Consider the following 19045-nt stretch of genomic DNA (forward strand, 5'->3'; position numbering starts at 1 on the left):
ATAAACTACAGAAAAAGAGGGCTTATTACTATATTAGTAAGCATAATACTATTTATAAATATTACATCTATCATTTCAATTTTATGTGTCTTCTAAAAAGACTGAAACAAGTCACCCATAATTATTACATAAATGCCACTTTTAATATCAGCTTAGGAAATATGTATATTTTTCTTTCAAAACTACCATAAGCAAAGATGCTAACATTTTGTTTTTTAAAATTCGTACAAAATAAATCTATCCAAAGCTTTTGGCCACACACCCATATTTTAACCAAAGTTACTCTGGATAGTTTGAGGAGGATTCTGCTTGGTCTGACAAAATAAGATGATGAAGATGAAATAAGTTGGGTTTTTTCCCTCCTCTGTCTGAGTGACAGCCACTCACACATCCACACTATTTTCATTTAGGAGTGCATTTAACATTCTGTGAGTAGGAAGAAACGAAAAGGATGAGGTAAGGATATTGTTTTTCCCCAATCACACATTTCTCTTTGCCCATCCTGGTTTCTCTGTGTCTTATTTCCCTTCTAATTATTTTCCACTCCTTCAGTTCTGGTGCTGATGCGGTCCCTGGTTCATTTCCCTCCTCCCCTCCCATTTTCAGGATAACTGTATTCTTCATCTTTAAATGTCCCACCGATCACACGTCAGTGACTTCATGGCAGCTTCCTTGGAGACAGGAGATTAGATTATTTTAAAATTACAACCACCTATTGATAAACTACCATATAAGGCACTGGACAACACACACTAGCTTTGGCAGGGGGCCTGCCCTAAATTGTTCAACACTTACCAGGGGAAAGTCTTACCTGCCCAGAGTGAAGATCAATGCCACAGGAAGACAAAATTCAGTTTTATTTACTGGACAGAGGAAAATAAGGGCCAGGCTCCAAACAGCTATCTCAAAGCATGCCATCCTCACCTCCATCCACCTCCTCCCACCTTTTCCTTTTTGTCCCATGTTTTTGTTTTTCTTTTCTACCTGGTTTTGCTTCTGTATTTCCTGACAACTCAAGATTCCTTTACCTCATCTCACTTCTTTCCCTTCAACTCCCTAGGCATTTCACCTCCTCCCTCCCTTTTTGGCTCTCCATCCCAGTCTCCCAGCTTGCGGAGATACAAGCACACACTTCCAAATGCTGCCAACTAAGTGCTCCAGGGGTAGGGAGTTCTGAGGCTACCTCCCGCCACTGGGCAAGCCTCATAACAGAGGAGACATTCTAAACCCCAGGGATGGTAAAAATCATCATCATTATTACCTCTCCAGGCACTGCTGTGTTAAGCAGAGATGAGGCTCCCACCTTTGATAATGAGAAACTCAGAAATTACAGAGGTTGGTAACACAGCATCAGCATATAATACCGTCTGAAAAACCTGGGCTCCAGTTATCTTGTGATAGGCAGCGACAGCAGAGATTAAAACCCACCAGAAAACAGCCGCAGACTGTACTGATGCTGTGCTCCTGCACTAAATGGCCACAGTCACACCCCTGTCCTCCGATATTGCCACGAGTTATGATTACTCTCCTTAGTCCCACTATATTAGAAAAAAATTTAAAGGGGCATTTAAAGCAAATTCAGGCACAAATAGATTAACAACAAAGAAAACGCCATCATTATTCTTCCAATGCTTACTCATTCTATGATTTAAATATTTATTCTTCAAATAACAGCTAGTGTATGTCCATATGAAATCATCAGAACGTTGGACCTTCGGCTCTCCTCCGAGGGTCAAAGCTGAGATTTTGTGTGTATAATATTATTATAGAAAGAATAAATATTTAAAAATGGACTAAGTAATTTTTTCTTATAGACTGCTGCAGAGAACAAAAAGTTTCATATGGCTTCCAACTCAGAGGAAGTTTGTGACTGGATGTGAGGAGACTACAAAGTTATTAGAGGATAGACAACAAACCCTATGAGCCCGTCACATCTCCTTCACTGAAATTTTGCTATATTAAATTTTGATTCAAATAAGTAATCCATCAGCAAAGGTTTTGCAATATTGGTTATACAAAGATCTTCAATGACTGACATTTGTTGAAGTGGGATTTAAGTTAAATTTTATAATAACCCTGTAGTGGCATGGAAACTTTTATCCATACATTTTAAACTTTCATAGGGTTAGTCATCATGATATTTTGGGAATGACAAGATTACCTTCATCAGAAACTTCCTTCTACTATTTCTGCCTGCCAAGGTGCATCTGAAAAATTTCTTCTTTCACAGAGATTTTCCTTCTCCCCCAGCTGAGAGTGATCTCTCTGTACTCTGAGATATGCTCAAATTCTCCTACGTTTCTATTTCCAGCCTTGCCTTCTCCCTCACCCCCAACTCTTACTGGAAGCAACTTTTTCAGCAACTGGAACTAACTTGCAGTCTCTGTCTGCCTTGGCTGACTGGCCAACGGTCTTAATAAATAGCAACCACTAAATAAATCAAAATTTTTCCAAAGAAAATATGAAACTTGGATCTTAACTCTACTTAGCCTTAAATTTACCTGTCTGTGCACATTTCATTTTCCCACCCACTAAACAGTATTCCTATAGCTCTGGTTGTATCCATGTAGATTTAGATTGATGGTTCTAGAATCACAGAATTGGAAATGATCGTAGATATAATTTAGTTCAACCCACTCATTTTCAAAGACAAGGCAAGGGAAGCTAAAAGAGGTTAAGTGCCCTTTTATCACAGTTAGTGATAAAATTCAGGCAAAATTGAAAGTGGCTGCTCCAGCCTATCTTTGTAGCGGATGACCTGTCTTAGAATTTGTTGAACCTCTAGCATTGAATGTAGACTGATTTTAACCTGAATGAAAACTTCAGACTTGAAATTATTCTGCTTTTAAGGAAAGTGAAATTGTTAATTGGTTTTAGTAAACCAGATATTTAAAATCATTTTACTTCCATTCAGTTCCTCATCAAGTCTAAGCAATTGGGTACTGTACTTTGACTATTAAACCTGTAAGTTATCTGAAAATAATTTTTATTACACATTATATAATACTGAAAGTATTAGACTCACATCCATATCAATGATACAAATGGGTAAATTAGTACAAACTTTCTGAAGGGCATTTGGCAGTATGTTACCAAAAACTTAATATTTGAACCCTCTTCATTCTGTCAACGTCATTTCTAAAGATTTATTCTGAGGAAAACTTACTCGACATCTAGGAATATGGTCAATTTTTATTCTTCTGCCTTTACACTTTTTGATAAATTCCAAAGTTCCTTACAATGAATTTATGTCATTTCTACCATTGGAAAAAAACCTCTCATTGTTTGTAAAAAAAAAAAAAAAAAAAAGTGAGAGAATGCAACTGGCTGCTTATCCTTCAAGAAAATATCGGGCTCTTGTGCACTGGGTGATTTTTTTCTTTCTGGTCAAAAGTTTGTAGAAAGGGAGAAACTGTGTTTCCTGGGAAAAGCCACCAGCTTCTAACCATGAACGGGTGTTCAGAGCATGAGTCTGTTTTGGAATTTCCAAAAAGCATACAAGAATAAGGCTCTGGCTGAACATCCTTTTCCTATATGGATTGCACATAATCAATAGACCTAGAAGCACTTATTGAACACATCCTGTGAACATCATTGCACTAAGAGCTATTCGAAACAAATGGCAAGGGCTTTTCCATGCCATTTATAACTAAGCCCTGTGGCAATGACATAAACATATGAAAAGATGACCATGAATAGAGGCCGTAATTAATTTCCAAATACAAAATGTAGGTATCTAGAAAAGGAAGAAGCTCACGCAAAACCTGAGTGGCGAGGAAAGGCTTTGCAGAGAAGGGCTCAGCCTTGAAAAAAAGATGGAGCAAGAAGAGGTACGGTATGGGAAAGAATGGTTTTACTGGGTTTGAGTGGTAGAATACTGAAAAACAAAGATCAGAAGGAAAGGCTGGGCAGGCCCAGCCTGAGGAGCATCTCAACTCCCGAATGACATTTGATCGCCTCACTGGATGTCTATTTTATGTTAGATGCTCCATAAGGCCATATAGCACAGTGGTTAAGAGCACTGAGTTCTAGAATCAGAGCACCTGGATTCAAACCAACTCTGATGCTTACTAGCTCTGTGATCTTGGATAAGTCACCTAAGCTCTCAGTTTCCACATATATAAAATGAGGATAACAACAGTACTCACCACACAGGGTTATCGGGATGATTAAGTATGCATGTGTAAGGACTGAATAAATGTTCAAATGTTGGCATGGCACTGGGCACACAATGGAATAATGTCTGCTTGCATTAAGCAGTGCTATGAGACTTTTTTAAAGTGTGCATTCTTATTTTAAAATCTTTGTGAGGTCTATAAAAGAATGTGCCCACCTTTGGAACTACAATGGCCTGAACATAAATGAGTTGTTTTTTGACGACTAACCACCCTGCAATGGGTCTCAGAGTCATCATTATATACCACCCTTCTCACAGTGTGGACCAATAATAATAACAACAACAACAGCAACAACAGCTTTGTATAGCAACCAAGGGTTTACAAAAGGCTTCTATCTCATTCACAAGAATTCCATGAGGTAAGCCAGACAAGAATCAGGATGGAGGCAAGACGAGGACCCAGGGTTTCTGCGTTCTTGTCTAGGACTCTTTATAGCTTACAAAGTAGCCTATGAAGAGACAGACCAAATACAAACTGATCCTTAGACTCAACCTGGAAGTTAATTCCTTATAAATGAACATCTGATGTGAGATAGTCTGGTTGTGATTTGACTTAGACAGAAATGGAGTAGATTACTTAGAAATTTAAACTCTTAATAAACCATTGAAGTTTTGATGTCCAATGTTCACACATACCTTGAAAAAGAGATGGAGTTGGAAGACATATGGTATGAGAAAGAAAGATTTTACTGGGTTTGAGTGGCAGAATACTGAAGAACAAGGATCAGAAGGAAAGGCTGGGTGGGCCCAACCTGAGGAGCACCTCAACTCCCAAATGATGTCTGATCACCTCACTGAATGTCTATTTTGTGCTAGATGCTCCATAACGCCATATAGCACAGTGGTTAAGAGCACTGAGATCTGGAATCAGAGTACCTGGATTCAAACCAAGTCTGATGCTTACTAGCTCTGTGAAGATACCTCTGATTTTCAGTATTCAACTATTCAGTAGCTGAATTTTTGTCTTGCTTTAGATTTGAAAGGAAAGTAACAAAGAGGGCATTGCTATTATTTGATTGTAGTTTGAATCCCTGCTTGTCTAATTCCAGGAAGTTCCAGTTAATAATATACAACCAAATCAAATAACATATTGATGGAGGTTATACATGGGTAGAGGCAGGCAAAGCAACATCTACAAACCCCACTGGGAAACAGTTACCAGACACAAGCTAAAAATGTATTCAGTTGTCCAACAATATGAACCAAGGAAGTTCTTTTTTGAGATGGAGTCTTGCTCTATTGCCCAGGCTGGAGTGCAGTAGCATGATCTCGGCTCACTGCAACCTCTGCCTCCCAGGTACAAGCAATTCTCCTGTCTCACCCTCCTGAGTAGCTGGGATTACAGGTGCCTGCCACACCATGCCTGGCTAATTTTTTCGTATTTTTAGTTGAGACAGGGTTTCACCATGTTGGCAAGGCTGGTTTCGAACTCCTGACCTCAAGTGACACACCTGCCTCAGTCTCCAAAAGTGCTGGGATTAGAAGTATGAGCCACCACGCCCGGCCAAGCCAAGGAAATTCTAAGGTGAAACCCTGAAAAACAGAAAGTTCATGTTCCAAATATGTGAAATCAACGGAGTCCTTTCCAAATCAGATATCTGAACACAGGACCCAGGTTTTCCTCCTTGTTTTATCCAATAGTATAATTACTGCAATCATCACTTAATAACATATAGCTTTTAAATTACAAACCACATCCTTACCTCTAGGGAATATATGTAAAAATCTTTCCATTAAAATGCTAACATTGCTGGGCACAGTGGCTCACGCCTGTAATCCCAGCACTTTGGGAGGCCAAGCAGGTAGATCACGAGGTCAGGAGATCAAGACCATCCTGGCTAACACAGTGAAAACCCGTCTACTAAAAATACAAAAATTTAGCCGGGCGTGGTGGCACGCCAGCTACCCAGGAGGCTGAGACAGGAGAATCGCTTGAACCCGGGAGGTGGAGGTTGCAGTGAGCCGAGACTGCACCACTGCACTCCAGCCTGGGCAACAGAGCGAGACTCCGTCTCAAAAAAAAAAAAAAACCCAAAAACAAAAAACTAACATTAATAAAGTTTAGCACCAAATTGCTCTACCTGAGGTTGAACGGTAATGCTTTAGTTTAATTCCCTTCGGAACACATTATCTACTTTTTGGGTAGAGTTCTATCCTGATGTATTTCTTACTGGGGAGTTCAAAGAACAAAGAGCATAGTTGAGAATGAATTGAGATGAACTCAAACCAGAAACAAAGCATATCCACGAAAGGGAATAGATTATACAGGAAAGTAAGGATTAGGACCGATTCCTTTTCTAAATGACTGGCCACTGTTACAGCCTTATTCTGTTGTCAACAGTACTTCTGCTGTTAACTGAGCTTACACACAGTGTCAGTCAAGGTTTTCATTGAATAACAAGTGTGTGTGATTTCTAATACATGTGAGGCCCATTCTGACGCAGTATGTATTAAAATGAGCCAAGGGAACATCTACCAATGGCCCCTGTCGTTGCCTGCCTCACTGCTTTCCTGGATACATTTGCCTCAAGTGGACACAGCAGCTGGAGAGAGGGATGTAAAGCAAGACCTCCGTCACCCAGCATGCAGGAACATGAGTATTTACTGGCTCCATCTTCACTGTCAGAGAATACTACAGGGAGGATGAAACAGCTACCGCGATTAAAAACCTGCTCCCTTGAAAACAGCCATGCCACTGCTGTGCCACACAATGACCCTTTCAAGTCGGGTGCTGAGCTAGATCAGCACCTCTCCTGCAACTTCTTTGATGGCTCAGTGTAGACTGTACGGTGTGCCAGAGAGTCCAAGCACAGCTCCAGCAGGAATCTCCTGGAGCAGAAGGCTCAGGAGAAGATGAGAAGAACAGCTGCCTATTTTCTACCTCAACCACGGCCAATTTTGTGCTCCAGCCCTCCTTTTCCCATTCCAAGTGGCATATCCTTTCTTCCTCTGTCCCTCTATTTAACAGTCAGACAAGAATAATTTACTGGAAAATTGTTAAGTTATAAAAATAACCATGCTTTCTTTCACTTCTTTTCCCAAAAGTTTGTCTCCTAGAGCCAATCTTTAGAATCCAACTCTTGGTGTGTATTTTAGAAAACACCTTGAAGATGACGGTGGCTCAGAAGCACACTATGGTACATGCTGCTGCTATGGTCAGTGCTCTGTGCTCTTCAGTCCCACTTTCCAATACTGAAACTTGCTTCAACACAAGAATTTATATCAGACTGATATTGTCACAAGTTCCAAGGATCCCAGCTGACATCGCTGTGGCCCTGCTTGGGGGAAATAGAACTAAAAGACTTTATATTAATTCACTGGTATCTTTTAGTCCACTGACGATCATATAACACAGTTCAGTAGATTACTGGGAAAGTGAGGCACTAAGAACCCTGATGTTTTTGTTCCCAGAAAACCTGAAGCTCAAGACTGTGTATAGGGAAGCACTATAAATGACTTCTGACCCTCTGCTTGAAAAAAAAAAAACAAAAACAAAACAGCAACAAAACAAAAAACAAACTAAGAACGGATCAAGAAGTTCCTCAGGTTAGGTTTTAACACGAATCCTTAGCACATTATTATCTTTCTGCTCTAAAACTGGAGTTTGCACTTTAAATAGAGATTTCAATAAATTAATGCATTAGCTACAAAGAAATGGACTCAATTTAAATGACTAAGCAAGTGACCTGAATATTATTTCCTTTAAATAGCCTGAGCAACATGAAAAGAAAATACAAAAAGGAATCTGAGTAATGCCCTATGTCTACAAGATTCCATCTAAGTAGAGCATGTCTCCCACAATGTGACTCACAGGAGGCCTGCAGCTTCAGTTTTGAACAAACAAACGCACGTCTTCATTCAGCACAAAGCTAACTAGTGTTAGTTATACAGCTAACTAGTTATGCAGGCTATCCATATTTACATAATCAGAAACACATTGCTTTCAATAAGACAAGGCCCACTGAGTTACATATGACCCTAAGGTACGTGTATTTCAACGCATGTTAAACTGTACTTTTCAGAAAATCATTTTGTTTAACAAACTCTCAGCAGGCACCCTGATTAGACATAATCTATAAGGGCCCTTTGTCTCGAGCTACACTGCTCTGCTGTATGGGGCTCTCTTTGTGGTGATAATTGGTTTGGCTGTCCATTCCACCCATCAGGTGATAGAAAACTATCAATCAGCCTAAATGCAATGTGAGAGAAGTCTCGTTAGCCAATTAGTCAGTAATGAGAACATTAGCTAAGATATCTTCTGCAGAGGGCACCTTAGCCATTCCACTAGTCTGAGAAGATGACAGTCCCTATGTGATTAATAAAGATCACAGGATACTTCAGAAATTCTACATGGGTGAAGAAGAGAGTCAGAAAGAAATGCACTCGGAAATGCTGACTGTTTCTAGTGCTGCCAAGTGCTTTACGCAAAAACATTCCAAAACCACAGAACCACAGAACTTCAGAGCTGGAAAGGACCCTGAAGATGATTTGATCTCACACCTGCATTTTACAGATACGGCAGGGAGTGAAATGAATTGTCCAAGGTCACCCAGCTGGCTGGCAATGGTGCACCTCTTGTGGCTCCAAAGAAAAATATTTGGACTGATAAAAGCAAACAAAACAGGCAGCACATCAGTATGGAGAGATCCTACATGGCTTCTGATATTTTTATGGGTGTGTCTTTTTTCTCTACTGGTGGCAAGGATTATATGTTTTCCTTCCCTGACTTCCTAGGGCCAAACATGATCACTGTTTGTCCTGAGGAAGTATCACACATATTTAGAGCAATGGCTCCTAGGCCAGATTGCCTGGGTCCATAATGCCAGCTCTGCTACTTACTACACGTGTGACTTTGGACAAGTACTGAATGCCCTGTACCTCAGCTTCCCCATCTGTAAAAGAGGATAATAGTCCCTACCTCCCAGGGTTATGACAATAATTAAGAGTTAGTCTACATAAAACACAGGGAACAGAGGCTAGCACTTGCAAGCTCGGCTATTATTATTCATGAAGGTGCTTGTGAAATGACAGCTGCAACGACAGGGCAACTTCTGCATATACAGGAATAATACTAAGATAAGGCCTGGGCGTGGTGGCTCATGCTTGTAATCCCAGCACTTTGGGAGGCTGAGGTGGGCAGATCACGAGGTCAGGAGATCCGAGACCATCCTGGCTAACACGGGCTACTAAAAATACAAAAAATTAGCCAGGTGTGGCAGCATGCGCCTATGATCCCAGCTACTCGGGAGGATGAGGCAGGAGAATCCCTTGAACCTGGGAGGTGGAGGTTGCAGTGAGTCGAGATCGATCGTGCCACTGCACTCCAGCCTGAGAGACAGAGCAAGACTCCGTCTAAAAAAAAGAAAAAAAAGAAAAGATAAATTAAGGCAAATTAAACACAATGCCATAACTTTCTTGGGATGAAGACTGAGGGAAATCACAGAAAGAAGAGTAAATTCAAAGGGGAGAACCACACCAGCCTCACAGAAATTTCAGGAAGCATCGCTGAAGCTTTGGATGACAGTCCTATCATGTCCCAACCTGTCTGCTGGACTGCTCCCTGGTACGGTCAATTGGGCATGTTCTAGCGGAAATCCACAGGCCCACTAACTCCCACAGCCCACAGCCATGGAACCATGGCTGACCATGCATGGTGGTCTTTACCCTTGTGCCATGAGTGGTCTGAGGACTAAACATGCCTTGATCAGAAGCATTACCATTCTCTGAATCACCAGGCCCCTAACCTTGAAGGTTATGTCTCCTCTCCCAGAGGCTTTCGTTATCTGCTCCTCCTCTTGACCCCCATAGCACTGTAGGCACAGCCCACCCACCCCGACTGTGCAGGTGACATGGCATTGCCACTGCTTGTCTCATTCCATCTCTGTATTTCATACTGCCCTGCAATGCTGTCTGAATGCAGGGCCAGGCATGCATTTGACAAAGAGGCCACTTCAGTGGATTGTCCCAGAGTTAATACGCACCAAGCAACAAGAGCTACTCTGACATGGGTGCTAGTGCACTGCTGTACAATGCCTGGGATTTTCCTCTTTTACCTTTTAGGAGCAAAGATACTCTATTATCACCACTATCAACCTCTCCTCTTATCCCTACCCCTCAAGAAAGAAATGGAAACACGCAGGAAGTTCAAAGGCCAACTCATTTGCTACTGCTGGAGCGGGCAAACAACGCACACTCACAGAAACTAAATAAGTGAATGAGGAAAATGGAGTGCACAAAGACATGAGAGGACAGACCAGTGAGACCAGAATGCAGTCAACAAGAGAGGGGTTAGGGTCGAAAAGGCCCAGGAAAGGGGTGGGGTGCTACCGAATTCTGACTTTTTTCCTTTATAGGTATTTACTTATATCTGGTCTCAGAGACACACAGGGAGAAGAAGTGGGAGAGAGAGCATCTAACAAGATCCTTGAAGGCAGGAATGTTTTCCCATTTTCATTTCTATTCCATTGTAGTGTTGAGAGCAGCTCCAATCATCTGAAAGAGTGAATGGCTATTGGGTGGGAGGCAAAGGGAAACAAAGAAATATACCGTGAACTCCGGGACACATCTTAAAACTTGCCTAAACTCCAGAGAGGGAGGTACTCATCAAGTGCAGTCTTCAAAAATTATGTGGGATTCACAAACAGAACTCATCTCCAGGTAGAGGACAAGGGTCCCTCCCACCTGAACATCAACAAGTAATGCAACTCTCCCTCTCCTACACAACGTTTATATGGTTGATATCCACCAATCTGTCCATCCCTCCTTCCTCTAGCCCTTGGGCGCCACACTAAAATATTACATTCAACAGAAATTAGAAACTTCAAAGCACACCCCTTCAAAAAATCAACAATACAGGGTACGGTGATGAACAAAAGGACATTATAATTTTGTGGAAAATGCAAATGTTAAATTACACACAGAGTAATTGCCATATTTATGTCTTTCCTACTGACCTTATCTTGCCAGAGTAGGAGAATCAGTGTCAAGAATGAACTCTTTGCCGATTTAAATAGGATTCAAATATATATATTATGCATAATAATAGTCTCCTTTCACTTATTACATAAACATAAAACATTACCCTCCTTCTATTCTTGAGACGTTATGACAATCTGAGCTAATACATTTAATTCAACTCAAGTCCCTGAGAGAACAGAACTACAATTACTATTTAGCGAGTGTCTGACCCATTCTGCTTGTCTCTGAAATTGTCTATGAAACTTTCATGGAGGACACCAAGGAATCATTTTGTTGTTTGACAAAATGATTTGACTGTGAACATTTTTAAAATGCTTATATTCCCAACATTTAAAATAAGATTTTATTTTCTTTTATATAGATGGGAGTTATTTGATGTCCAATAATATGCATTTCTATACAAATGCATACAGAGGTATCTGAATTTTTGAGAGGTAAATTACACATTCTGTGAGTGGGTCTTGAAGCATCAACTTGAATGAGAATGGTTATATACATACCACTGGATAAATATGCCTTTGCTAGCTCAGACTTCATGGAGTAGGCCAGAGATAGGAAGGAAAAGAAGGAAGAAAGAGAACAGAGAGTGGAAGAGAGGCAGGGCATGGTGGCTCACCTCTGTAATACCAGCAGTTTGAGAGGCAGCGGTGGGTGGATTGCTTGAGGTCAGGAGTTTGAGACCAGCCTGGCCAACATGGCGAAACCCCGTCTCTACTAAAAATACAAAAATTAGCTGGGCTTGGTGGTGCACACCTGTAATCTCAGCTGCTCGGGAGGCTAAGGCAGACCAGGTTGAAGCTGGGAGGCAGAGGTTGCAGTGAGCCGAGATCACGCCACTGCACTCCAGCCTGGGCAACCGAGTGAGACACTGCCTCAAAAAGAAAAGGGGAGTGGAAGAGAAGGGAAGAGAGGGCAAGGAAGGCAGGAGGATCAACTACTCCAAATTGAAGAACTGGAATTAAATCCATCCCACCTCCTTCCAACAACTGGAGGAATGATCTTACCTCTAGCATGTTTAACATGGGGAAAATATTTTTTTAAGTAGTCCAGACAATGATAAATACAAAGAAAAAAACACACCTCTGGATTTAAATGGAAGGCTGCAATTCCTTCATCCAGAGAGCCTATTTCATGAGAAACCTTTTAATAGAGAAGTTCTTAGTAAGACTATATGGGTAGCAATCTCTTGTTCAAGAGATAAAAATAGAACAACTAACCTTTACTAAGGTCTTACTAGGTATAAGGTACCATTGGTAACATGTATTAACTCATTTAACCTTCACAAACCTCCTGTGAAGTACGAAGTATTATTATCCACATTTTACTAATAAGAAATAAGTAATGTACCCAAATTATGCAGTCAGGAAATGGCAGAGCTGGGATTCAAACCCAAGTATCCGACTCCCAACCCAGCACCCAGCCATTTTATTAGTGAATGAGTGGATGTGTGAATAAGTGAATGAATGCAAAAGCTATGCTCGCTGTTTGTAACTTGTGGCTTTAAAGGCTGCTGGCAGAGTTTTCTGTACCACAAAGGACAGCCTTATGAACAAACCATGGCTTAACAAAACTATGCCTCACAGTTGTCCCTCCCCTAAACACACCCCACTCTGAGGGAGAGCCTCACGCCTGTAATCCCAGCACTTTGGGAGGCCGAGGCAGGCGGATCACGAGGTCAGGAGATCGAGACCATCCTGGCTAACATGGTGAAACCCCATCTCTACTAAAAATACAAAAAATTAGCTGGGTGTGGTGGCAGGCACCTGTAGTCCCAGCTACTTGGGAGGCTGAGGCAGAAAAATCGCTTGAACCCTGGAGGCGGAGGTTACAGTGAGCTGAGATCACGCCACTGCACTCCAGCCTGGGTGAGAGAGAGAGATTCCATCTCAAAAAAAAGAAAAAAAAAATGTGGCAAAGTTAAAAGTAAGGTTGATGTCTCATTTGTCTGACCCAGTCACACAGGGGCCATGTGACAAGACAGTGTTGCGGGGATTTGGCTATGAGATGAAAATGCATAAGGGACTGCGGAGCTTCCTGTGGGCCCCATGTTGCTTACTGTTAGAGGAGAGGTGTCCTGGCAACATTCCAACCCGGGCACAAACTTTACATGAAGTTTGAAGCTTCGGTTAGTGGCAGGGTCTCCACTTCCTGTTCCAAGATGTTGGGTGAGTCTCATAATTCAAGTCTCAGAGGCATTTAGACTTGAGTGGTGTAATGCCCTTACAGGCTCAGTGACCATGCTGCCCAAGCCAGGAACAAGGACCCAAATCTGATTTTTTTTAAAAAAACAAAAAACAAAAAACAGGTCTACCTACAGGGAAAAAAAGACAAGCCATTCAAATTCAGGACTGTTCCCAGATGCCCTATAGCACTAAGGACATGACAAATTGAACATGACCTGCATATTTTATGAATGTATCTCTCCCTTTCCCTCTGCTTCTCACCCCTCTTCTCTCTTTATTTCTCAAGTCTTCACTTACGGATGCAGAATAGGAGACACTTAGGTCTGCTAAATCTATCTAGACTGACTTACCTACGGCTCTGTTCACCTCTTAGATCCCAAACACAATTCTTTTCCTCATTCAGTTTCAATCTGTTTTCCTATATTTGAAGAATGTGCTGTTTTGAAAGCCCTAATTTTTACTTTATAGGAATGCCGAGAAACAGGCCCCAGGAAAGCAATACTGTAGCATTTTCCAAGCAGTCATCTGGGGGATTCATGACCTTCCAAAAATTTCTGGTGGTTTCTGACATTCAACTTCTTCCCTTCCTCAAATTCTCCATATCCCCACATTCTGCCACATATTTTTAGGCAAGTATCTGAGCTACTAAAGAATTTAAAAATGAGAAAAGTGAAAGTGGCCAACAGCCACAATAAAATTTTTCTTTAAAAATGGCAGCACTGTCCCTGGAAGAGCTTACACGGGTACACACAGTATATTTCAATCTTATCAATCGTGCCCACCTAGATTCAGCTCTTGGGACTATTCTAACTAAGACAACACTATCAGTTTAAAATAGTCTATTGTGACAGAAAAGTACGTTGAAAATCAGTGAAGACTCACACATAGAATCAATTTCCCCTCTAGAGAAAATCAGCGAATATAAATTCATTAGGGTAGTTAATTTTTCCATGTAAATAGCAACTGACATCACTGTTAATACCAGGAAAAGTAAGCAGCGTCTTTTAATGAAAAGATTATAAATCTAAAGCGAACTGAGTTAAGTTCTAACTGTGCTCCTGATAAAAAGGGAATAAATAATACCCGTTCATTTTTCATGGAGATGTTTTAAGAATAAACAAGACAAATGGGTAAAAATACTTTCAGTTCTCCTGAATAAGGCACTACCTAATCCCAAAACAGTTCTATAAGAAAGAAAGAAAAAAAAAAAGATTGGTGTGTTCTCGGCAGTTTCAATGAGGGCTATGGGCCCGAGACGTTTTAAAAGCAGAAAACTGTTAACATTGGAGATATATTGTCAAAATACATTTCCCTTTGGTTAAGGAAAGGAGAGAGGGAGGGCTTAAAGGGTGGAGTGGAAAGGAATTGTCATCAAAGCATTGTTAATATGAACTGAATTATATTACAATGGCGATGCTTCAACATGGGGAATGAAAATTGTTTTGTATTATTGTGGATTGACAATATGACAATCGTTCATTGAAAGTGGATGACAGCTGTAGCATTATAGCTCAGTGCACAACACAAGATGAATGAGTGTTACAAGTTCTTCCAGAATGGGCCCTTATTTCGCAAGAGTCCGTTTCATCCCAAAATAAATACATGCCAGTTTTTCACTATCTCAGCAAATTTAGCATCTCTTTACAAACCAATGTGCTACCAGCGGCCTCAAAGTGCCTGTGTCATGTCCCTGCTTAGTGGATTTGCAGCAGCTGTGAAATGTCAAGTCAAAATGCCATGGAAGATCTATACAACGCCTCAGCAGAAGAAAGGGCAAGAAATGGTAAAATGCTTATGCCTGGACATGTGTGAACTGACGTCAAACTGTCTCCCGATCCACAGGAGTACTGTTCCTGAATTTCTGTCTTGGCACCAGGCTCATTCCACCACAGACATATGAGAGTCATTTGTGTGCCTCTTATATCAAACTACTCACCTAAAAGAAGTAACACCATGTAAGCTACTTGAAATTAACACACTTCAGAGGCCAGAGATATTTACATATCTCCTTATGTGCAACAAAAGTCATGCCTGCTTACTTAACAAAAAGAAAGAAAAATCAAAGAAAAAAAGCACAAAAACTACTCAAAATATCATCACAGAGAGAAAGAGATAAGCCTTGTTCACATTCACATATTAGTGTTTTTCTTCCCAGTTTTAATGTATTTTTAAAAAACAGAATCTGGGCCAGGCACAGTGGCTCATGCCTGTAATCCAACACTTTGGGAGGCCAAGATGGGTGGATCACCTGAGGTCAGGAGTTTAAGACCAGCCTGGCCAACATGATGAAATCCTGTCTCTACTAAGAATACAAAAATTAGATGGGCATGGTGGCAGGTGCCTGTAATCCCAGCTACTCGGGAGGCTGAGGCAGGAGAATCGCTTGAATCCATGAGGTGGAGGCTGCAGTGAGCTGAAATCGTGCCACTGCACTTCAGCCTGGGCGACAGAGCAAGACTCCAACTCAAAAAAAAAAAAAAAAAAAGAATCTGCTATATATTGTGTTCTAGTGCCTGTTTTTGTTTGTTTGTTTTTTTTAATATTGCAATCAATGTATTGGGACTTTTTTTCAATCTAAAATATTCTTCTAAAGTGTAATTCTAAAGATTATATGTATTCCATTTTCTCCATATACCATAACTTACACAGCTAATCTCCTGTGGTTGGACATCTATGCTCCTTGCAGCTTTTCACTATAAAAAATAACTCAGCTACTATATAATGTTTTCACACTTTCTGACTAATTTCTTAGAAAAAAATTTATAAAACCTGTACTGATTTCCTATGATCCTGAGTATGGCAACACTCAAAGTAAACCTGGGGCAGCCCTTGGAAAGGGGTCTCGAGCCTCACTGACCCATCAGAAGAGCCTCTGAAGTATTGGTAAGAGCAGCTGAAGAGCTATAAACAATGGGCAAGTTCTCCATTTTATACTTAGAGAAAATAGAACCACTTATCCCTTAATTGCCGTGGCCTAGTCTTCTAGGGTTAAGCGCAGCAACATGTTTTGGTGCGTGAGAAAAAGAATAGTATATGCAAAGGGAGAGGAATTGCATGAATATTCTCTATGCTTCCAAAGTCAATATGAAATATAAATGCCCTCTAAAAACCCTGAGAGAATAATAAAACATGGGAGTTATTTATGCTATGGTCTAAATATTTCTAATTATCTTTCAGGCACATGGAAGAGCTGTACTTCCTGGCTCTTGTGTGGTTAGATGAGGTCATGTTACTAGTTCTGACAAATAAGTTGTGAGCAGAGTGATGGGGACCATTTCTGGGCAGGGACATTAAATTGCTGATGTTAGACCCTCTGGAGCTCTTTCTCCTTCAGCGTAACCACTAGTGTGAGATCGTGGCTAGTTTTGTGAGAATGGGTCCCTGAGTAACAATGATAAGCAGAATCTCGTCTCCCCACCAACCCACAATAAACATGAGCAAGAACTAAATTTTTGTTGCTTTAAACCACTAAGATTTGGGGGTTCTTTGTTACTATACCATCACCTAGGCTCTCCTGACTGATAAATAAGATTTAATTGAACTTCTTTGTGATCTCATTATCTAATTTAAAATATTCACAGAAAACTTCATTCTTCTCTACACATACAGTTTGAAAACCTGGCGAATTATAGACATAATCTTTCAGGTTTTCTGGTCTTCGTTACGTAACAATTCAACAGGCATTTCTTCAGTGCCTACTGGCTGCAAGACAGTTACATTAAGTGAGAAATACAAATACTGGGAAATACAAAGATGAGGAAGACACAGCTCTGGGCCTGAATCACTTAAGATAAAGTAGGGAGGATCCGGTTTCACATTTTCTACAAAGGAGGAATTTAGGGTTGGCAACTGGGTCGCAAAGGGCAGGGGGAGGGGTAGGGGGGACTGTACTGAAGCTGTGTTTGCATAGTAAATGCAGTCTATATATATTATATATTTATTTGAGGCAATTTTGCAGAGAGGCTCGTGTGGAATATAGGAGAGTGGCTAAACACCTCCTCTGAGCTGCTGTTGGTACTACCAAGGGAACAGTAAAGACAACTCTAAGTAGAAGGTGGAAAGTTCTGAAGGAGAGGTCGGAAAAAAGTGGCCATGGTGTTTCGAAGGACTGGAAGATGCCGTCTGAGAGACTGGGAGAAGGGTTTCAGTGAAGAAACTGCATTTGAGATGGGCTTTTGAGGCCAAGATTTCCACAGGGAGAGATCAGGGGAGAAACGGTCTGGAAGGAGGGTGCCGCCTAAGCAAAGACACAGGGGGACAAAGCAGAGGACTGATCAGGTATCCAGAGCGATGTCATAGCTAGTGCCTAGACAGACTGTTGGGCAAGTGCAGATTTGGGGGGAACGCACTGAGGGACTTAGAGGGATTTGTGCTTGGCTGGCTGAGTTAGGAAATTCAGGGCAGCGGAGGTGGGTGTGAAGCAGGGATTTCAAGGCAGAGAATTATACACCAGGAAGAAGAGAAGCAAGAGGAGCTGGTCCTGGCAGGTTTACTTGGCGGAATTGCAGCGCCCGTATCTGAATAATGAAGTTGGTGAAACCGAGAGGGCTGCAACCCAGAGATGAAGGCGCGGAGCCAGGACGTGGCTCACGCTGAGCTTCCAGCTCCAAACTCTCAGCACAGGGCTGAGCACAAAATAGAAGAGCGATGAATGAATAATACCTAATAATATCCCAACCAACCGGCCAACTGCAGGACAAGCCAGTTTTACAGGACTTGCCGGCCAGTCCTTTATTTTTAAACTTCTTTGCCCGCTCTTGGAGCTTGAGTTTGATATTTACACCCACCCCCCACCCCCAAAATGGGCACAGCAGAAGATGGACGCGCTGCTCAGATCTAAGCATTTGGATACCTGTAAATAGCTCTGGTTTAGCTTGGAGGAGACTGAACTTAAATGGAGTGAAGTTTGAAGACTGTCTGTGAATTTTAGCTTTAAATATTGTAAGTCAGCGCTGGCGGCAATGGCCATCTTTAACTTCGTGATACTAAGAAAAAGATAGGCTCTTCAGACAAGAACAAAAACATTCCAGTTCTCAACATTTGGTAAGGCTTTTCCCCAGGAATTCCCTTTTGCTTAATCTGACCCCACATACTTCCTTTAAATGTCCCTTTACGAAGACATTTTAGTTTTGGTTCAAACAAACACAAAAGTTAGTGTAAACGCTGGGAAAAAGCAGGTGGAGTGGGAGACTAATGATCACTTTTCTGTGTGATCCTGAGTGAGTGGACTGGATTTCTGGCCCAATAGTAGGGCAGTATTTCAAGAATGAAAGGGAAATTTCTTGAGGGAAATGGACAGTTTAAGGATGAATATCATTCTTTTGATATCTTCCCAAAACATGTGCAAATTCAGCAAGAGGTTACAGGAAACCTCAATACCCTTGATTCAGAAATAAACACAGGTTATCTTTTCAAAAGGCATACAAGTGACCAAATAATAAAGCCATCTCCAAAAGGTCAGGAGAAATTTATTGGGAACCTACTGGGCATAGAACTGAAGAAAGTCTCCTTGTAACTGGGCTTCCCATGGTTGCAAAAACAGTGGGTGCCTTCACTAGGTTTATTACCAAAGATAGCAAATGTTTTCCATGGAAAACTTAACTGGAATCTGTTTTGTCCTAAGGTCAGATCTACAAAGCCATAATTACCCAGGTAACTTGGGTCTGATGTTGCCAAAAATATCCAGGTAATTACAGGAGAAAGGTCA

At 41.2% G+C, this 19045-nt stretch overlaps 1 protein-coding gene and 1 long non-coding RNA gene across 4 annotated transcripts in view; one reads left to right on the top strand and one right to left on the bottom strand.

The window, feature by feature from the left end:
* Positions 1–19045, bottom strand: part of MAML3 (mastermind like transcriptional coactivator 3) — a 437432-nt gene that overhangs the window by 312838 nt on the left and 105549 nt on the right. The gene's annotated exons all lie outside the window — the stretch shown is intronic.
* LOC124900783 (uncharacterized) overlaps positions 1–19045 on the top strand; it is a 52131-nt gene that overhangs the window by 17956 nt on the left and 15130 nt on the right. The gene's annotated exons all lie outside the window — the stretch shown is intronic.

The sequence above is a fragment of the Homo sapiens genome, chromosome 4 (genome assembly GCF_000001405.40).
Source record: "Homo sapiens chromosome 4, GRCh38.p14 Primary Assembly".
NCBI lineage: Eukaryota > Metazoa > Chordata > Mammalia > Primates > Hominidae > Homo > Homo sapiens.